Source organism: Homo sapiens, chromosome 7 (assembly GCF_000001405.40).
Source record: "Homo sapiens chromosome 7, GRCh38.p14 Primary Assembly".
In the NCBI taxonomy this organism is placed as follows: domain Eukaryota; kingdom Metazoa; phylum Chordata; class Mammalia; order Primates; family Hominidae; genus Homo; species Homo sapiens.
Window position 1 is genome coordinate 63,940,164 of NC_000007.14, and position 20,527 is coordinate 63,960,690.

Sequence of the window (20,527 nt, forward strand, 5' to 3'; positions counted from 1 at the left end):
AAAGGGATGGAATTACAAATGCAAGCCACTATTTCTGGCCAAGATTGGACCTTTCAATGAGCTCACATCTTACTTTTTTAAAAACCTAATTAAAAGATAAAGTCTGAGTAACAAATGGGTTTACAGTAATGATTATTAACTTGGATACTTCTATTCTTAAAAGAAAAATTGTTTATATGTGCGTATTGATGTTTTAAGAAGTACAGTTAAGACTGAATCTTTCTCTTTTGTTTTTGAGACAGAGTCTCACTCTGTCACCCAGGCTTGTGTGTAGCTGCCCAGTCGCATCTCACTGAAGCCTCAACCTCCCAGACTCAAGGGATCCTGCTATGTCAGCATCCCAAGTAGCTGGGAATACAGGCATGCACCGTCATGCCTCATTTTTTTGTGTGTGTTTTTGGTAGTGATGTGGTCTCACTATATTGCCCAGGCTGCTCTCAAACTCCTAAGCTCAAGTGAGCCTCCTGTCTTGTCATTCCAAAATGGTGGAATTATACAGGCTTACGCCATTGTGCTCAGCCAAGATTTTACCTTCAATTAGCACACATCTTACCTCTGAAAAAAATAATAATAAAGAATAAAGTCTGGGTAGAAAATGGATTGGAGTATACATAAAACAAATTTGGCACATTATTAGTGGTTGTTGAGCTGGGTAACAGGCGTATTATACTGTTTTCTTTATTTTGTATATGTTTTAAATTTTCTGTAATGAAACATGTATACAAATACAAAGTTGATCTACAATGTTAGCTCTTAAGACCTTAGTGACTTTGGGGAGCAAAAAGAGAGAAAGTGGGATTGTTTGGCGCAAGATGGCTGAATAGGAACAGCTCTTGTCTGCAGCTCCCAGCGAGACCAACGCAGAAGGCAGTGATTTCTCCATTTCCAACTGAGGTACCCAGTTCATCTCATTGGGACTGGTTAGGCAGTGGGTACAGCCCATGGAGGGTTAGCAGAAGCAGAGTGGGGCATCACCTCACCCAGGAAGTGCAAGGAGCCAGGGAACTCCCTCCCCGAGCCAAGGGAAGCTGTGAGGGACTGTGCTATCCAGCCCAGATACTATTCTTTTCCCACGGTTTTTGCAATCCACAGACCAGGAGATTCCCGTGTGTGCCTGTACCACCGGGGCCCTAGGTTTCAAGCACAAAACTGGGTAGCTGTTTGGGCAGACACTGAGCTAGCTGCAGGAATTTATTTTGTTACTCCAGTGGCGCCTGGAACCCCAGCAAGACAGAACAGTTTACTCCCCTGGAAAGGGGGCTGAAGCCAGGGAGCCAAGTGGTCTTATCAGAGGGTCTCACTCCCATGGAGCCCAGCAAGCTAAGAACCACTGGCTTGAAATTCTCACTGCCAGTACAGCAGTCTGAAGTCAACCTGGGATGATCGAGCTTGGTGAGGGAAGGGGTGTCTGTTATTACTGAGGCTTGAGTAGTCGGTTTTCCTCTAACAGTTTTAAAGAGGCCAGGAAGTTTGGACTGGGTGGAACTCAACAGAGCCAGCAAAGCGGCTGTGGCCAGACTGCCATTCTAGATTCCTCTTCACTGGGCAGAGCATCTCTGAAAGAAAGGTAGCAGCCCCAGTCAGGGGCTTATTTTTATTTATTTATTTATTTATTTTTGAGATGGAGTCTCGCTCTGTTGCCCAGGCTGGAGTGCAGTGGCATGATCTCTGCTCGCTGCAAGCTCCGCCTCCTGGGTTCACGCCATTCTCCTGCCTCAGCCTCCGGAGTAGCTGGGAGTATAGGCGCCCGCCACCACGCCCAGCTGTTTTTTTCTATTTTTAGTTGAGATGAGGTTTCACCGTGTTAGCCAGGATGGTCTCTATCTCCTGACCTCATGATCCGCCCGTCTCGGCCTCCCAAAGTGCTGGGATTACAGGTGTGAGCCACCGTGCCCGGCCCCCAGTCAGGGGCTTATAAATAAAACTCCCATCTCCCTGGGACAGAGCATCTGGGGGAAGGGGTGGCTGTGGGCACAACCTTAGTGGACTTAAACGTTTCTGCCTGCTGGCTCTGAAGAGAGCAGCAGATCCCGACAAGGAGGATTTTCCCAGCACAGTGCTTGAGCTCAGCTAAAGGACAGACTGCCTCCTCAAGTTGGTCCCTGATCCCCATGCCTCCTGACTGGGAGAGACCTCCCAGGAGGGGTGGACAGACACCTCATACAGGAGAGCTCCAGCTGGCATCAGGCCGGTGCCCCCTGGGACGAAGCTTCCAGAGGAAGGAGCAGGCAGCAGTCTTTGCTGTTCTGCAGCCTCCGCTGGTGATACCCAGGCAAACAGGGACTGGAGTGGACCTCCAGCAAACTGCAGCAGACCTGCAGAAGAGGGGCTTGTTCAAGGAAAAACTAACAAACAGAAAGCAACAACATCAAAATCAACAAAAAGGACCCCTACCCAAAAACCCCATCCAAAGGTCATCAGCCTCAAAGATCAAAGGTAGCTAAATCCACAAAATGAGGAAAAACCAGCACAAAAATACTGCAAATGCCAAAAACCAGGATGCCTCTTCTCCTCCAAATGATAGCAACTCCTCTCCAGCAAGGGCACAAAACTGAATGGAGAATGAGTTTGACGGATTAACAGAAGTAGACTTCAGAAGGTGCGTAATAACAAAACTCTTCTGACCTAAAATACTATATTATAACCCAATGCAAGAAGCTAAGAACCTTGATAAAAGGTTACAGGAACTGCTAACTAGAATAACTAGTTTAGAGAAGAACATAAATGACCAGATGGAGCTGTAAAACACAGCATGAGAACTTTGTGAAGCATACACAAGTATCAATAGCCAAGTTGATCAAGTGGAAGAAAGGATATCAGAGATTGAAGATCAACTTACTGAAATAAGACAGGAAGACAAGATTGGAGAAAAAAGAATGAAAAGGAACAAACAAAGCCTCCAGGAAATATGGGACTATGTGAAAAAACCAAACCTACAATTGATTGGTGTGCCTGAAATTGATGGGGAGAATGGAACCCAGTTGGAAAACACACTTCAGGATGTTATTCAGGAGAACTTCCCCAACCTAGCAAGACAGGCCAACATTCAAATTCAGGAAATACAGAGAACACCACTAAGATACTCCTTGAGAAGGGCAACCCCAAGACACATAATCATCAGATTCTCCAAGGCTGAAACAAAGGAAAAAAAGTTAAGGGCAGCCAGAGAGAAAGGTCAGATTACCTACAAAGAGAAGCCCATTAGACTAACAGTGGATCTCTCTGCAGAAACCCTACAAGCCAGAAGAGAGTGGGGGCCAATATTCAACGTTCTTAAAGAAAAGAATTTTCAACTCAGAATTTCGTATCCAGCCAAACTAAGCTTCATTAGCGAAGGAGAAATAAAATCCTTTCCAGACAAGCAAATGCTGAGGGATTTTGTCACCACCAGGCCTGCCTTACAATAGCTGCTGAAGGAAGCACTAAATATGGAAAGGAAAAACTGGTACCAGCCACTGCAAAAACACACCAAAATATAAAGATCAATGGCCCTATGAGGAAACTGCATCAACTAATGTGCGAAATAACCAGCTAGCATCATGATGACAGGATCAAATTCACACATAACAATATTCACCTTAAATGTAAATGGACTAAATGCCCCCAATTAAAAGACATGGACTGGCAAATTGGATAAAGAGTCAAGACCCATCAGTGTGCTATATTCAGGAGACCCATTTCACATGCAAAGACACACATAGGCTCAAAATAAACGGATGGAGGAATATTTACCAACCAAATGGAAAGCAAAGCAAAAAAAAGCAGGGGTTGCAATCCTAGTCTCTGGTAAAACAGACTTGAAACCAACAAAGATCAAAAAAGACAAAGAAGGGCATTATATAATGGTAAAGGGATCAATGCAACAAGAAGAGCTAGCTATCCTAAATATATATGCATCCAATACAGGAGCACCCAGATTCATAAAGCAAGTTCTTAGAGACCTACAAAGAGACCTAAACTCCCACACAATAATAGTAGGAAACTTTGACACCCCACTGTCAATATTAGACAGATCAATGAGACAGAAAATTAACAAGAATGTTCAGGACTTGAACTCAGCTCTGGACCAAGCAGATCAAATAGACATCTACAGAACTCTCCACCCCAAATCTACAGAATATACATTCTTCACAGCACCACACAGCACTTATTCTAAAATTGACCACATAATTGGAAGTAAAACACACCTCAGCAAATGAAAAAGAGTGGAAATCACAACAAACAGTCTCTCAGACCACGGTGCAATCAAATTAGAACTCAGGATTAAGAAACTCACTCAAAACTGCACAACTACATGGAAACTGAACAATCTATTCCTGAATGACTACTGGGTAAATAACAAAATTAAGGCAGAAATAAAGAAGTTCTTTGAAACCGAAGAGAACAAAGACACAATGTACCAGAATCTCTGGGACATAGCCAAAGCAGTGTTAAGAGGGAAATTTATAGCACTAAATGCTCACATCAGAAGGTGGGGAAGATCTAAAATCAACACCCTAACATCACAATTAGAAGAACTAGAGAAGCAAGAGCAAACAAATTCAAAAGCTAGCAAAAGACAATAAATAACTAAGATCAGAGCAGAATTGAAGGAGGTAGAGACACAAAAAAGCCTTAAAAAATAAATGAATCTAGCAGCTGGTTTTTTGAAAAGATTAACAAAATAGATAGACTGCTAGCTAGACTAATAAAAAGGAAAAGAGAGAATAATCAGACACAATAAAAAATGATTAAGGGGATATCACCACTGATCCCACAGAAATACAAACTACCATCAGAGAATGCTATAAATACCTTTATGCGAATGAACTAGAAAATCTAGAAGAGATGGATAAATTCCTGGACACATACACCCTCCTGAGACTAAACCAGAAAGAAGTTGAATCCCTAAATAGACCAATAACAAGTTCTGAAATTGAGGGAGTAATTAATAGCTTACCAACCAAAAAAAGCCCAGGCAGCACCAGACTGATTCACAGTTGAATTCTACCAGAGGTACAAAGAGGAGCTGGTACCATTCCTTCTGAAGCTATTGCAAATAACAGAAAAAAAAGGAATCCTCCCTAACTCATTTTATAAGGCCAGCATCATCCTGATTCCAAAACCTGGCAGAGACACAACAAAAAAAGAAAATTTCAGGCCAATATCCCTGATGAACATCAATGCGAAAATCCTCAATAAATTACTGCCAGACTGAATCCAGCAGTACATCAAAAAGCTTATCCACTACAATCAAGTTGGCTTCATCCCTGAGATGCAAGGCTGGTTCAACATACGCAAATCAATAAACGTAATCCATCACATAAACAGAACCAATGACAAAAACCACCTGATTATCTCAATAAATGCAGAAAAGGCCTTTAATAAAATTCAACATCCCTTCATGCTAAAAACTCTCAGTAAACCAGGTATTGAGGGAGTGTACTTCAAAATGAGAGCTATTTATGGCAAACCCATAGCCAATATCATACTGAATGAGCAAAAGTTGGAAGCATTCCCTTTGAAAACTGGCACAAGACAAGGATGCCCTCTCTCACCACTCCTATTCAACATAGTATCGGAAATTCTGGCCAGGGGAATTGGGCAAGAGAAAGAAATAAGGCGTACTCAAATAGGAAGAGAGGAAGTCAAATTGTCTGTTTGCAGACGACATGATTGTATATTTAGAAAACCTTATTGTCTCAGCCCAAAAACTCGTTAAGCTGATAACCAACTTCAACAAAGTCTCAGGATACAAAATCAATATGCAGAAATTACAAGCATTCCTATACACCAATAATAGACAAGCAGAGGACCAAATAATGAATGAAATCCCATTCACAATTGCTACAAAGAGAATAAAATACCTAGGAATACAACTTACAAGGGACATGAAGGACCTCTTCAAGGAGAACTACAAACCACTGCTCAAGGAAATAAGAGAGGACATAAACAAATGGAAAAAATAAATTCCATGCTCATGGGTAGGAAGAATCAATATTGTGAAAATGGCCATACTGCCCAAAGTAATTTATAGATTCAATGCTATTCCCATCAAACTACCATTGACTTTCTTTGCAGAATTAGAAAAAAACTACTTTAAATTTTATATGGAACCAATAAAGAGCCCATATAACCAAGACAATCAGAAGCAAAAAGAACAAAGCTGGAGGCATCATGCTACCTGACATCAAACTATACAACAAGGCTACAGTAACCAAAACAGCATGGTACTGGTGCCAAAACAGATACGTAGACCAATGGAACAAAACAGAGGCCTCAGAAATACCGCACATCTATAACCATCTGATCTTCTACAAACCTGAAAAACAAGCAATGGGGAAAGGAATCCCTATTTAATAAATGGTGCTGGGAAAACTGGCTAGTCATATGCAGAAAACAGAAACTGGACCCCTTCCTTACACCTTATACAAAAATTAACTCAAGATGGATTAAAGACTTAAATTAAAACCTAAAACTATAAAAACCCTTGAAGAACACCTAGGCAGTACCATTCAGGACATAGGCATGGGCAAAGACTTCATGCCTAAAACACCAAAAGCAATTGCAACAAAAACAAAAATTGACAAATGGAATCTAATTAAACTAAACAGCTTCTGCATAGCAAAAGAAACTATCATCAGAGTGAACAGGCAACCTACAGAATGGGAGAAAATTTTGCAATCTATCCATCTAACAAAGGGCTAATATCCAGAATCTACAAGAAACTTAAACAAATTTACCAGAAAAAACTAAACTAAATGACCCCATCAAAAAGTGAGTGAAGGATATGAACAAATACTTCCCGAAATAAGACATTTATGTGGCCAACAAACATATGAAAAAAAGCTCATTATCACTGGTCATTGGAGAAATGTGCAAACCAACACCACAATGAGATACCATCTCACGCCAGTTAGAATGGCGATCATTAAAAAGTCTGGAAACAATGGATGCTGGCTAGGATGTGGAGAAATAGGAACACTTTTACACTGATGGTGGGAGTGTAAATTAGTTCAACCATTGTGGAAGACAATGTGGCAATTCCTCAAGTATCTAGAACCAGAAATACCATTTGACCCAGCAATCCCATGACTGGGTATATACCCATAGGATTATAAATAATTCTACTATAAAGACACACATACATGTATGTTTATTGCAGCACTGTTTGCAATAGCAATGACTTGGAACCAACCCAAATGCCCATCAATGATAGATTGGATAAAGAAAATGTGGCACATATACACCATGGAATACTATGCAACCATAAAAAAGAATGAGTTCCTGTCCTTTGCAGGGACATGGATGAAGCTGGAAACCATCATTCTCAGCAAACTAACACAGGAACAGAAAACCAAACAAACACCACATGTTCTCACTCATAAGTGGGAGTTGAACAATGGGAACACATGGACACAGGGTGGGGAACATCACACACCAGGGCCTGTTGGGGAGTGGGGCAAAAGGGGAGGGAAAGCATTAGGACAAATACCTAATGCATGTGTGGCTTAAAACCTAGATGATGGGTTGATAGGTACAATAAACCACCATGGCACATGCACACCTGTGTAACTAGCCTGCATGTTCTGCACATGTATCCCAGAACTCAAAGTAAAATAAAATAAAAAATGTTGTAAAATGATGCCTACAATGGATACAGAATTATAAAATTTTTCAAAAATTACCTTCAAATCACAAAGGATTTTGCTCACACAAAGATAATATAGATTTCTCAATAAATACATTATAAAATTAAGTGTATTTTTATGACTTCTCACCTGAACAGGATAAAGCATCCTTTGACACCAGCCAAGAAACAAGAAAAAAATTAAACAAATTTAAAAGCATGTCATTCTCATGGATAGGAATAATCAATATCATTAAAATGGCCATACTGCCCAAAGCAACTTGTAGATTCAATGCTATTCCCACTAAAGTGCCATTAACATTCTTCACAGAACTAGACAAAAACTATTTTAAAATACATGTGGGAATAAAGTAGATCCCAAATTGGCAAAGCAATCCTAAGCAAAAAGAAGAAAGCTAGAGCCATCATGGTACCCAACTTCAAAGTGTAATACAGAGCTACAATAACCAAAAGGGCATGTTACTAGTATAAGAACACATAGACCAAGTGAATAGAATAGAAAACCCAGAAATAAGACTGCACACCTACAACTATCTTATCTTCAGCAAACTGGATAAAACCATGCAATGAGGAAAAGATTACCTATTCAATAAATGGTGCTGGGATAACTGGCTAGCCATATGCAGAAGATTGAAACTGGACACTTTCCTTACACGATATACAAAAATTTACTCAAGATGAATTGAAGGCTTAAATATAAAACCCCCAAACTATAAAACTCCTGGAAGACAACCTAAGCAACATCATTCAGGAGCTAGGCACAGGCAAAAATGTCATGACAAAGATGCCAAAAGCAATTGTAACAAAAGCAAAAAATAACAAATGGTATCAAATTGAACTAAAATGCTTCTGCACAGCAAAAGAAACTATCAACAGAGTAGGCAATCTGCAGAATGAGAGGAAATTTTTGCAAATTATGCATCTGACAAAGGTCTAATATCCAACACCTATAAGTAGCTTAAACAAGTTTATAAGAAAAAGCAACCCTATTAAAAAGTGCGCAAAGGAGGTGAACAGACACTTCTGAAAAGAAGACATACAGATGGCCAATAATCATGTGAAAAAAGCTCAACATCACTGATGACTGGAGAAATGCAAATCAAAACCACAATGAGATACCATCTCACACCATTCAGAATGTCTGCTATTAAAAAGTCAAAAAATAATAGATGCTGGTGAGATTGTAGAGAAAAAGAAATGCTTATACACTGTTGGTGGGAGTGAAAATTAGTTCAACCAGGTGGAAGAGAGTGTGGCGATTCCTCAAAGACCTAAAGACAAAAGTACCATTCAACTCAGCAATCTCATTACTGAGTATATACCCAAAGGAATATAAATCATTGTATTGTAAAGACACATTCAAACACATGTTATTGCTGCGCTATTCATAATAGCAAAAACGTGGAATCAACCTAAATGCCCATCAATGATAGACCGGATAAAGAAAATGTGGTACATATGCACCATGGAATACTATGCAGCCATAAAAAAGAAAGAGATCATGTCTTTTGTAGGGACATGAATGGAGTTGGAGGCCATTATCCTTAATAAACTAATGCAGGAACAGAAAACCAAATACAGCATGTTCTCACTTATAAGTGGGAGCTATGTTATGAGAACACATAGACACACAGAGGAGAACAACACACACTGGGGCCTATCAGAGGGTGGCAGTTGGAAGGAAGAAGAGGATCAGGAGAAACAATGAATGGGTACTAGGCGTAATACTTGGGTGATGAAATAATCAGCACAACAAATCCCCATGACACATTTACCTATGTAACATACCTGCACATGTACCTCTGAACTTAAATGTTAAAAAATCAATATATACAAGGCAAGACGTGAACAAAATTGAGGCCTGTAGTCCCCAACTGGACACCTTACTTTTTTCTGGTGTGTGAAAATTGTTATTAGTCCTTGAGGCATAGATGACTTTTCTCCCGACCTCCTTGCTTGCTTGCTCCACATGTTCAGGAACTAAGATCTGGGCTGGTCCTCTGTCTCTAAGAAGCCAGGCACCTCACTATGAGAATATGGAGGAGTGGGGTTTGAGGAAAGTCAGAGGAGAAGGTGAGCTGTGGGAGAAGGGAAAACAGGACAACCAGGCACCTGGGGCCACTTGGTGGCAGTGTGGGCAGGAACGGCTGCTATCTAGGCAAGGTGGTCCAGGGTGCCAGGAGTCATTGCTATTCCCAACCTCCATCTAAGAGCACCAGGGCAAATCTCAAGTCATTCCTAAACTGGGTGCTCAAGAAACTGAAGAAACAGCAGCTTCAGCTTGGAGTGGCATGAGGGTAGGTGCATTGCCCACCACCTGATGCCCACAGCTTTGTCTGCAGCCTGGGCCAGGGTGCCCACCAAAACAAGGTTGGTGCAGCTGCCCTCGTACTTCTCTCACCTTCTTCTGTTGTGCAAAATGTTCAGGTGGCTGCATCGCAGGCAGAGGGGTCAGAGATGTCTACAAGAAGCCCTGCTTGTGTCCTTGGCATGGAGGAGAGAGAAAGGTGGCCAGCTGGTTTGGGTTTTAGGGGGTAAAAACCTATAAGACCCTGTCTCTTCAGGGGTTTTTCACTGAAGTCTTAACTGGTCTCCACTCACCTGAGCCTCTGAAAACAGAAGAAATTGGCTCTTTTAGATTTTCCCAGCCGTAGTGGTCAGGACCGTTGTGTGTGTGGCTCTCTGGAAGCCATTCTACTTCAGGAGTATCCAATCCAGGTGTAGTCAGGGCCTCCCAGCAAAGTTGCTGAGATGTCTGGGCAGATCTTCTTATTGAAACTGGCCTATCTAGCCTTCAGTGTTGCAGGCCATGTCTGTTGCTTGCAGAAGGCCCCTGCAAGCCTCAGTGTTGCTGGTCAAGGCCCTGACTCCCTCTTTTTTTGTGTCCCATCTTTCACCTCAACACATGATCCAGAGCACTGACTCTGCCCTTCCTCCCCTTTCCCAGGACAGGACCCACACCCACTCCACTCTATCAGGGCATGTCTGGACCATATGTGTGTCTCTTTGTTGTTAAAAAAGAGAAAATGATTTAATTGGCTTTTTCTTTTGACTTCATAGAGCTGATTTATTATTAAAATGTTCATTTTATGGGTAAATATGCATGGAAATTTATACAAAAATGTTAATGATGTGAGAGTAACATTCTTACACTTTGTTTGATGATTATGGAGTTGCTATTTCACCTTTCCCTATTTTTATCTTTATGTTTATATGTTCAATGGAAAAACATCCAGTGAAGTCTCCTCAGTATGATAGACAAAAGTTGTGCAATCAATCATTGATAGATGCACAGTGAAGCGACTTCCAGTTCCCATTTGGAGCTAGAATTAAAAACTCCTGATGGTAAACTCACATGATGAGGAGTTATAGAATGCTATCATTTTCTACACGTCCATCTGCCTTCACAGTTGCTGTCTGAACTTGCCAAGGGAAAAAGTGGGCATATGTTTTCCTAAGACCTACTCTTCTCCATTTTATAGGTTTCTAGTTCGTGCTTTGTTCAGATTGCCCAGAAGCTGATGATCACAGAGAAGAGGTCATATTTGTCATGAGAAAGCTTTCCTGCACCAGGATTCAGTAAAGGCGTTTACCAGCAGGGCCCATGGTGCCTCCAGAGGCAGGATGGTGCTCAAAACCCATCACTGAGGCCAGGAAGTGAGGACAAAAGTTGAGGGCTGCCCATAGGAAAGAGAAAAAATGCTCCCTTTGGGTTTCCAAGTAGTTACTGCTTATTGTTGCATCAGTCTTGCTCCTGACCACGATGTGTTCCTTGTTCATTCTCCTTGGTATCCCACTGATTGTGCATCTATGAAAAAGAAGACAGGATCGGGGGTGGTGCAAAGAACAACTGCATCCTTCTAGAGCTGATGCCCTGGTGAGCTCTGAAGCACACTTAGCAGAGCCTGAAATCTACTCTCCCTGTGGGGTATGTTGTGAAAAAAAATCCCCATCTACTCCCATGGGAATGGCAGCAGGTTCAAGAGGCTGAGGAAGGGACCCAGAGCCAGTGAATGAGATATGGAGATTTACTGGGGGCTTACATAGAGGGGAGGGAGTCTAGTGTCAGTGGGCTGAGCAGGAGAACCACACTCACTTGCAAAATGCATGCAGTTTGTATAGCATTTTTATTTAGCACCTTCACCTGAACAACCTTCACCAGGCAACCTTCGTTTAACACAATGTGAAGGGCTTCAATATCCTGTATGGCCTGCATTCCATGGCCCAGGATGAGACAGGCCAGAAGCTCAGAGGTTCCTTATAGATAAATAGTGAATCTCCAGGTTGGCTGCTCCTAGATTCCTTAGCTCAGAACTCTGAACACTCATTCAGAAACATTTTCCATACAGGGTCAGTCTTCAGGTATGCCCAAGTCAAGTTACCATTGTCAACTGCATCTGCCATACAGGGTGGTTCAGGAAGTGGAGGCTGTTTCTACTGAGCATCTAGATTCAAAAGTTTGTGCCTCTTTCTACATCTCTGGGTTGATAGGAGCTTATCCAAAAGGCTTGAAGTTTGTACACATTGCTGGTGTGGTTTTTCAAGTGAATGAGATGGCTCTTTAGTTGGTGGGTTTCATTACTAAAACAGGTGTGACTGAATGTGTAAAGGCTGCTGGGGTGCTCCTTCTCCAGGTTACCATTGGACCATGAAATTCTGGGGCTCTTTGTTCCAGCCCAACTATTTTCCAAGATGGGACATGTCATGCTGAACCAGACCCTCAAATTGTGGCTTAGGGTGACCAGCCTGAAGCTGCCCTTTAAAGGGCAGAACTGCCAGGTCTGTGTCTTATTTTCCTTTTCATTCTGCTATATTCCTTGGTATGGAAGCCAGAAACGAGTCTGAGTATGTGAGAGCTCTATTCCTAGAGTTGGTACTATTGATACAAGTGTCAAGGTAGGTTGAGAGATCTCTCTTCCTGCCACAGCATGAATGAGCAGGAGGATTGTGACCCTTAGTGCTTGGCAAACCATAAGATGTGTGGGGTAGAGAAAGAGCTGGTATAAATGACAAGTTGCAGGTCAAATAATTGGAGGCAGAAAGAGGATGAGACCTACTTAGAACAGTACACACACTGCCTGGGTGCAGCAGAACAGTCAGGCCAGTTCTCTGATTTGGGCCTTGTGCCATGGAATGAACAGGCCCATTTCTGCTCTGGCCTCGGTGCTGAGTTATTTGGTTCTGGAACCAAATGTGAATTCTGGACTCTGGAATGCCAGTTGGGTTTCACAGGCCAGTAGAGTGAGGAGGCCCAGGTGGGCCCACAAGAGTGACTGTGGGTGGGCTTACCACACATGAGTGGTGGCTTCTACATCAACACTCACAAGGAAGAGGGATCTTCTCCCAGTTTCAGACAAGCCCAGGAAGGTCAGAGGCCTATGGAGGCCAGAGAACAAAGAAGGTAATGCCTCAGCCCAGTGCCTTTGCCCCACGTGGCTTATGGTTTTGGAGACTCAATTTGCTGATCAGGAAAATGAACTGACTGGCTGCTCACTCCACTCTCACCAGGCCACTGCACTGTGCCCATCATGCAGCTTGAGGTACGGCCTGTGCTTTGAAAGGCTGGGGAGTCTCTGGGATAAGTTCAGGGCCCTGAGAGGGTTCTACCCCCAAGGACCCCTCATGCCTACCCCTCTGTGCCCACCTGACAGCTCAGCATGTCTTCTGGATGCCACCTTCATTGTCTGCTCTGGCCAAGAGCATGTCTCCCCAGGAGAGCTGGGGGCCCAGGATCACTGAAGCCCAGGTGGGCTGTCCAGCCTCCCTCCAGTGCACAGCCTCAGGCAGCTGCTACCCAGGTTCCCTCCTGGAATGTGATCCCAGGGGACCACAACAGCACATTCTTTCCTAACCTATTTACTAATCAGTCACTTAATGTTCCAAGATGGATGTGGGCCCTGACACTTTTGATCCTTTCCCTAGCAAGGCTGCATTGGGGTTGCCACCTTGATTCCTCTGTTAAAAAAAAAAAAAGCTAGCGGGTGAGATAGGACCCAGGGGCCACGGACAGGACAGGGCACCCTCTAAGGCCCCCGTAGGCAGGAGGGCTCAGTGGAGTTCCAGGACCCTCTTCAAGGATGGTGCCCGTAGCCCCTCCCTGGACCTCCAAGAGGGTCAACTCCCTCTGCAACCTGCACCCACTAGTCTCTTGGAGGTGAGCATCCATCCATCTTTGTGCACATGGCTGTCTGCTTCATTTCCACTGGATAGTCTCCTTGGCAGAAACACCCAGGGAATCCTGGTGGGCCTGTGCCGGATGTTCTGTAAGTACTAAGGTCAGTAAGAGGGGCTTGAAAACTCAAGAATATAATTAATATTATTTTCTGCACTTTACTATCTCAGGGTTACTTTCCCTCCAAAATGTGTAAAAACAAATAATTGAGATCTCTATCCTTTACATTCTTTTAATTAAGTCATCATACAAACCTTTCATTTTCTTGAAATTTATTTTTATGCCATTCATTAAATTTTTGTTTTCTTCATTCAAATTGTTACCTGTTTTAGAGACAAAATTTTTAACATTATATGCTTCACAAATTCTAATAGGAAATGGCATTTTATTTATGTAATTACTAATGTAATTAATAAGCGTATTAAAGAAGTAAATAATTGAAGTAAATTTAGTTTATATTATATGAATTATTTTACATTTTATCTTCTATCTTAAAAAAATTTTAACTAGTTATGCAATTCAAAATTGACAGATATTTTAACTCAGAACTTTAAACATAATATCCATTGATTTGTGAATTCTATGAAGATGTCAAAATATGAGTTAAAAATCTGTTGTTGCTTTGTAGTTAGCATTTTATATTTCAATGATTCTAAATCACTTCATTTTGGTGTTAAGCTTTTTAGTTATTATGATGTTTTTAGATATTTGTTGTACTTTCCTTGGTTGATATTTTATTAGTTCTTTAAAATGTTTAAGCATGCCATATTTTCTCTATTTTGTTCAAAAATCATTAGACAAGGCCAGGCGCGGTGGTTCACATTTGTAATCCCAGCACTTTGGGAGGCCAAAGCGGGTGGATCACCTGATGTCAGGAATTCAAGACCAGCCTGGCCAACATGGTTAAACCTCGTCTCTACTAAAAATACAAAAATTAGCTGGGTGTGGTGGCGGGCATGTAGTCCCAGCTACTCGGGAGGCTGAGGCAGGAGAATCACTTGAACCCGGGAGGTGGAGGTTGCAATGAGCCGAGATTGTGCCACTGCACTCCAGCCTGGGTGACAGAGTGAGACTCCAACTCAGAAACAAAACAAAACAAAAACCATGCAACAACAACAACAACAAACCATTAGACATAGCACTCTTATTTCATTTTTAACTTACTCTAACTTGTATATTTTCCACTCATTTTTCTCCTTTTCCTGGCATCTAAGTATTTCTTTTAGATCTTTCTTTTTTTTTTTTTTTTTTTTTTTTTTAGATGGAGTCTCGTTCTGTCGCCCAGGCTGGAGTGCAGTGGCGCGATCTCAGCTCACTGCAACCTCTGCCTCCCAGGTTCAAGCAATTCTCCTGCTTCAGCTTCCCGAGTAGCTGGGATTACAGGTACGTGCCACCATGCCCGGCTAAGTTTTTGTATTTGTAGTAGAGATGGGGTTTCACCGTGTTAGCCAGGATGGCCTTGATCTCCTGACCTCGTGATCCGCCCGCCTCGGCCTCCCAAAGTGCTGGGATTACAGGCGTGAGCCACCGCACCCGGCCTTTTTAGCTCATTCTTTTACTTATACTTTAGCTCATATTTTTTACTTTGCTGATATCCCTTATATTTATCTAAAAAAACTATGTATATATTTTTTCTTTTTGTATTTTTGTAGAAATGAGGTTATGCTATGTTGACCAGGCTAGCCTTAAACTCCTGGCCTCAAGTGATTCTCCCGTCTTGGCCTCCCAAAGTGCTGGGATTACAGGCACGTGCCACCATGCCTAGCTTACATATTTTCGGCGCATCTGCTTTGGAATTCCTTGACGTCTAGTTGTACAAGTATTTTATGATGTTATTTCTGAACAAAATTAATTTTTGTGTCCTTTAGTTTGCATATTTAAAAAAATTACATTGTGTGATTATACTTGACAAGTCTGAACTTAAAAGATTTTCAGTATCTTGGGTTGAGATTTTTTTCCCTCAAAAAAAATTGTCTGGAATTTTTGTTTTCTTCTCTACATGCATCTGGAAAACATTTAAATTAACTTATTAAATTTTTCTCTACAAAAACTCTGGGTCAATTCAAACCCCAATATATCAATACAGCTGGCCTTCCTTCCTACATCAGCCAAGGCACGGACTGACTAGTTTCACTATTTATCTCCCTTTGACTGCAGGCTGCATGCTCTATCTCATTTTTCTTAGATTTGCAGAACTTTGAGGCTTTTGGCTTTAGTTGGGCTGGTCAGGTTCATCCCCCTTACTTTGATTCTAGTGTGGCACCACATCTACCCCTGAGAGCTGTAAAAATCCAGGAAATGATGCCCCTATTATTATCAACCTATTGTAGGAAGCCTCACCCTGCCAGATGTACTGTCTCATCCTCCCTTCTTTCTGCTGCTTGTGCTTCTTCATTTATTTTATTTTATGTTTTTGAGGTGGAGTCTCACTCTGTCACCCAGGCTGGAGTGCATTGGTGCTATCTTGGCTCACTGCAACCTCTGCCTCCCAGGTTTAAGTGATTCTTCTGCCTCAGCCTCCCAAGTAGCTGGGATTACAGGCGCCCACCACCATGACCAGCTAATTTTTTTTTTTGTATTTTTAGTACAGAGGGGGTTTTACCATGTTGGCCAGGCTGGTTTCAAACTCCTGACCTCAAGTAATCTGCCCACCTCAGCCTCCCAAAGTGCTGGGATTACAGGCGTGAGCCACCATGCCCAGTCTCCTTATTTTTACTTTAGCATTTAGAACTAATCTCTGCAGTTAAGCACATGTTACATTGTCCAGCTGTTATGGTGTTTTTTCAAGAGAACTATTTTTAAACATGTAACTTTTCAGAATATTTCCAGAATCCCAGATAGCCACATTTACCTTTGGAGGAATTGATTATCAGAATAATCAACACAATTATCTTTAGAAAAATCATATGTCCCCAGGGAAAGTTCTAAATTTTTGGAGTGTGTATTGTGTGACATTTTTAGTAGAATGCAGTTATGACAATGTTACCATATGTTTCAAATATAAAATACTTTCTGTTATGTATTACATAAGGATTTTATGTGATCATGCCTTTTGCTGGGGAGAATGCACCTGTGTCTTGTTAAAATTGTTGATAATAATATTTTTATTGCTAATAAGAAAATTAATAATACCAAATCTTTTCATTCTCAACAGTACTACTCTTTTTGATCCTAGTTTCCACTTTTATCATATGCAATAGAAACATTTTTAGAAGTGTTTTCTTCTAGGTAAATAAATTATCTTTATTATGTATTATTAATTTTTTAAAACCATTAAGTAAGGAATATAAGTATGTCCTCTATTATACCTTACTGGAATGTGTGAAATTTTTATAGATGCCCTGTAGGAGAGGTTAAGCAAGATTTTTCTATTCCTAGATTTCTGGAGGCATTATTGTTAACGAGTAATGAATTTTGTCAAATGCTTTTGTGTGTCTACTGAAATCATTATGGCTTTGTCCTCTGTTCTATTAATATGGTATATTACATTGACTAATATTTGAATATTAAAATAAATTTGCATTGGTGAGATAATTCCACTTGGTCATGTTGTCTAACATTCTTATGTGTTGCTGAATTCAGTTTTCTAGCGTCTTTAAAGATTTCTGGCCGGGTGCGGTGGCTCACGCCTGTAATCCTAGCAGTTTGTGAGGCCAAGGCAGTGGATCACGAGGTCAGGAGTTCAAGACCAGCCTGACCAACATGGTGAAACCCTGTCTCTACTAAAAAATACAAAAATTAGCTGGGCGTGGTGGTCTGTGCCTGTAATTTCAGCTACTCAGGAGGCTGAGGCAGGAGAATCACCTGAACCTGGGAGGCGGAGGTTGCAGTGAGCCGAGATCGCACCACTATACTCCAGCCTGGGCGACAGAGCAAGACTCCATCACCAAAAGAAAAAAAAAAGATTTCTGTGTCTATATTTATGAGGAATAATGGTTTCTCATTTTTTTCTTTGATGCTTTCATCTGGTTTTGTTTTCTGGGTGATACTGGCCTCAACAAATGAATTGTTTTCTTTCCCCTTTTATATTTTGCAGGTGTTTGTGTAGCATTCCTATTAATTATTCATTAAATATTTAGCAGAATTTACCAGTGAAGCTATCTGAACCTTTTTTATGGGAAGGAATTTTATTAACCTCTTTACCTGTTGTAAGTATATTAATATATTACCTTTCTTCTTGGATTAATTTTGATAATTTGTGTTTATCTGCAAACTTGTTTCTAATTTCTAGTATTTCATGCCTGTAGATTTTCCTGGAGGTTGAGATGTAAGAATAAAAAAAATGATGTTGAGAGAATAAAGCTTTGGGTAATTCATGAATGATCGAATATCTCATGATCTTCTGTTGTAAGATGGAGAAGCTTATTCTTCATGCTGTACTTAATATTCACATTTATATTGTAAAACAAATATGATATTCTATCTAAAGTGAACTAGGAAGATATGTTAGTTAACTTTGTGTTTAATCAGGATGGAAGTCTGAGTCTACCTTCTCTCTTCCATGAATATGTAGTCAGGACAGAAACATAATTTGAATAAGGACAAACACAAAATGATGGTAAGTGGAGAAGCATACAACAGATTAAAATGTGATGAAACAGCACTGAACACGTACATAGAGTTCACAATGTGTTACGCACTATTCCAAGTCATTTGCACATACAGTTTTAATGCCTGTAAGACTAAAATAAACAACACAAACATTCATGTAAATGAGAAATTGAAACATTAAAAATAATATTAGGTGACATTAAACTGTCATAAAAATAAACTGTTTTCATATACAACAAATAAGTTAACATAAAGAGTGCACATTAACATTTTAAGACAGTTTGGGCTGGGCGCGGTGGCTCACACCTGTAATTCCAACACTTTGGGAGCCCGAGGTTGGCGAATCACCTGAGGTCAGGAGTTTGAGACCAGCCTGACCAACATGGAGAAACCCCGTCTCTACTAAAAATACAAAATTAGCCAGGTATGGTGGCACATGCCTGTAATCCCAGCTACTCAGGAGGCTGAAGCAGGAGAATCACTTGAACCTGAGAGATGGAGGTTGTGGTAAGCCAAGATCATGCCATTGCACTCCAGCCTGGGCAACAAGAGTGAAACTCCATCTCAAAAAAAAAAAAAAGTCAGTTTGATTAGTTATCAGATAAACAAATGGATAGCATTATAAACCTGTATAAAGAGCATACATATTATTTTCTTATTTTCAAATTCCATAGAAAATATTTAAAATTTTAAAATGTTGGATTCAAAATTATGTCAGTAACTTCATGAAAGTAGACATTCAATAGGTCATATTGTTTAGACATTGTGAAATGACATCAGAAGCCGTGAATTAGAGTGCAACCCATAGACAATATCTAGCCACAGACAAGTTTAAGACCAAGTTGAATAATTATTGAATTTCAAAGGAAATTCATACTGAGGTTAATTTAGAGATTCAATGACATGCCAAGAAAGAAGCATTGAGACTGGAACCAAATCACCAAATATTGCATAACAAATTCTACCAGTACTAACTTACTGTTAAAGACAGAAACATTCATTTTAGCCATGTGCAGCTACTAATATTTTCACATATTAATAAAGTAAAGTAATCACACTGTTATGTGTGCAGTGTGAATGTTTGTGCATCCCTACAATGCCAAATAGGGCTAAAAAAAGTCAGGACTTTGCAGGAACACAAATAAGAAAAGATTCAAAGGAGTTGTCAACATGAGAAGCCAATGGTTAATCACAAAGCAAAACTGATAATCTTGTGCCAGGTCAAGGAGAACAAACAAATAAAATATACAGACTGCATATATTTATAAAAAAAGATCTCCAAAACGTGAGATCTAAATGATAAATTATGACATATACAAGCAAATAAGTTCTCAGAATTTTTTTTTATTATACTTTAAGTTCTAGGGTACATGTGCACAACATGCAGGTTTGATACATAGGTATATATGTGCCATGTTAGTTTGCTGCACCCATCAACTTATCATTTACATTAGGTATTTCTCCTAATGTTATCCCTCCCCCAGCCCCTCCCCCCGTGACAGGCCCTGGTGTGTAATATTCCCTGCCCTGTGTCCAAGTGATCTCATTGTTCAATTCCCACCTATGAGTGAGAACATGCGGTGTTTGGTTTTCTGCCCTTGTAATAGTTTGCTGAGCTTGATGGTTTCCAGCTTCATCCATGTCCCTGCAAAGGACATGAACTCATCTTTTTTTGTGGCTGCATAGTATTCCATGGTGTATATGTGCCACATTTTCTTAATCCAGTCTATCGAGTTCTCAGAATCTAGAGTAAGAAGAAATTGAATGTTACATACATTTATAATATTAAAATTGTATTTAAAATGTTTAAATCAATTAAATGGTAAAATAAGAAACCAAAATAATATTGAAAGAGGAAAACACTTTATTTATTTATTTATTTATTTTTGAGACAGTGTCTCCCTCTGTCATCAAGGCTGGAGTGCAGTGTCTGCAATCTCAGCTCACTACAACCTCTGCATGCTGGGTTCAAGCAATTCTCCTGCCTCAGCCTCCTGAGTAGCTGGGACTACAGGCATGTGCCACCATGCCCGGCTAATTTTTGTATTTTTAGTAGAGATGGGATTTCACCATGCTGGCCAGGTTGGTTTCAAACTCCGGACCTCAGGTGTTCTGACCGCCTCAGCCTCCCAAAGTGCTGGGATTACAGGCGTGAGTCATAGCGCCTGGCTGAA

At 40.8% G+C, this 20,527-nt stretch overlaps 1 long non-coding RNA gene across 2 annotated transcripts in view; it reads left to right on the forward strand.

The window, feature by feature from the left end:
- LOC105375318 (uncharacterized) overlaps positions 1 to 18,003 on the forward strand; it is a 32,262-nt gene extending 14,259 nt beyond the window's left edge. The window contains exons 2-4 of one of the 2 annotated variants that reach the window (XR_007060342.1): positions 11,113 to 11,558; positions 15,064 to 15,185; positions 17,839 to 18,003. This is a non-coding gene — a long non-coding RNA (uncharacterized LOC105375318). The remainder of the gene's footprint in view (positions 1 to 11,112; positions 11,559 to 15,063; positions 15,186 to 17,838) is intronic. The other variant, XR_001745236.1, reaches the window with a different exon arrangement.
- The last annotated feature ends 2,524 nt before the right edge of the window (positions 18,004 to 20,527 follow it).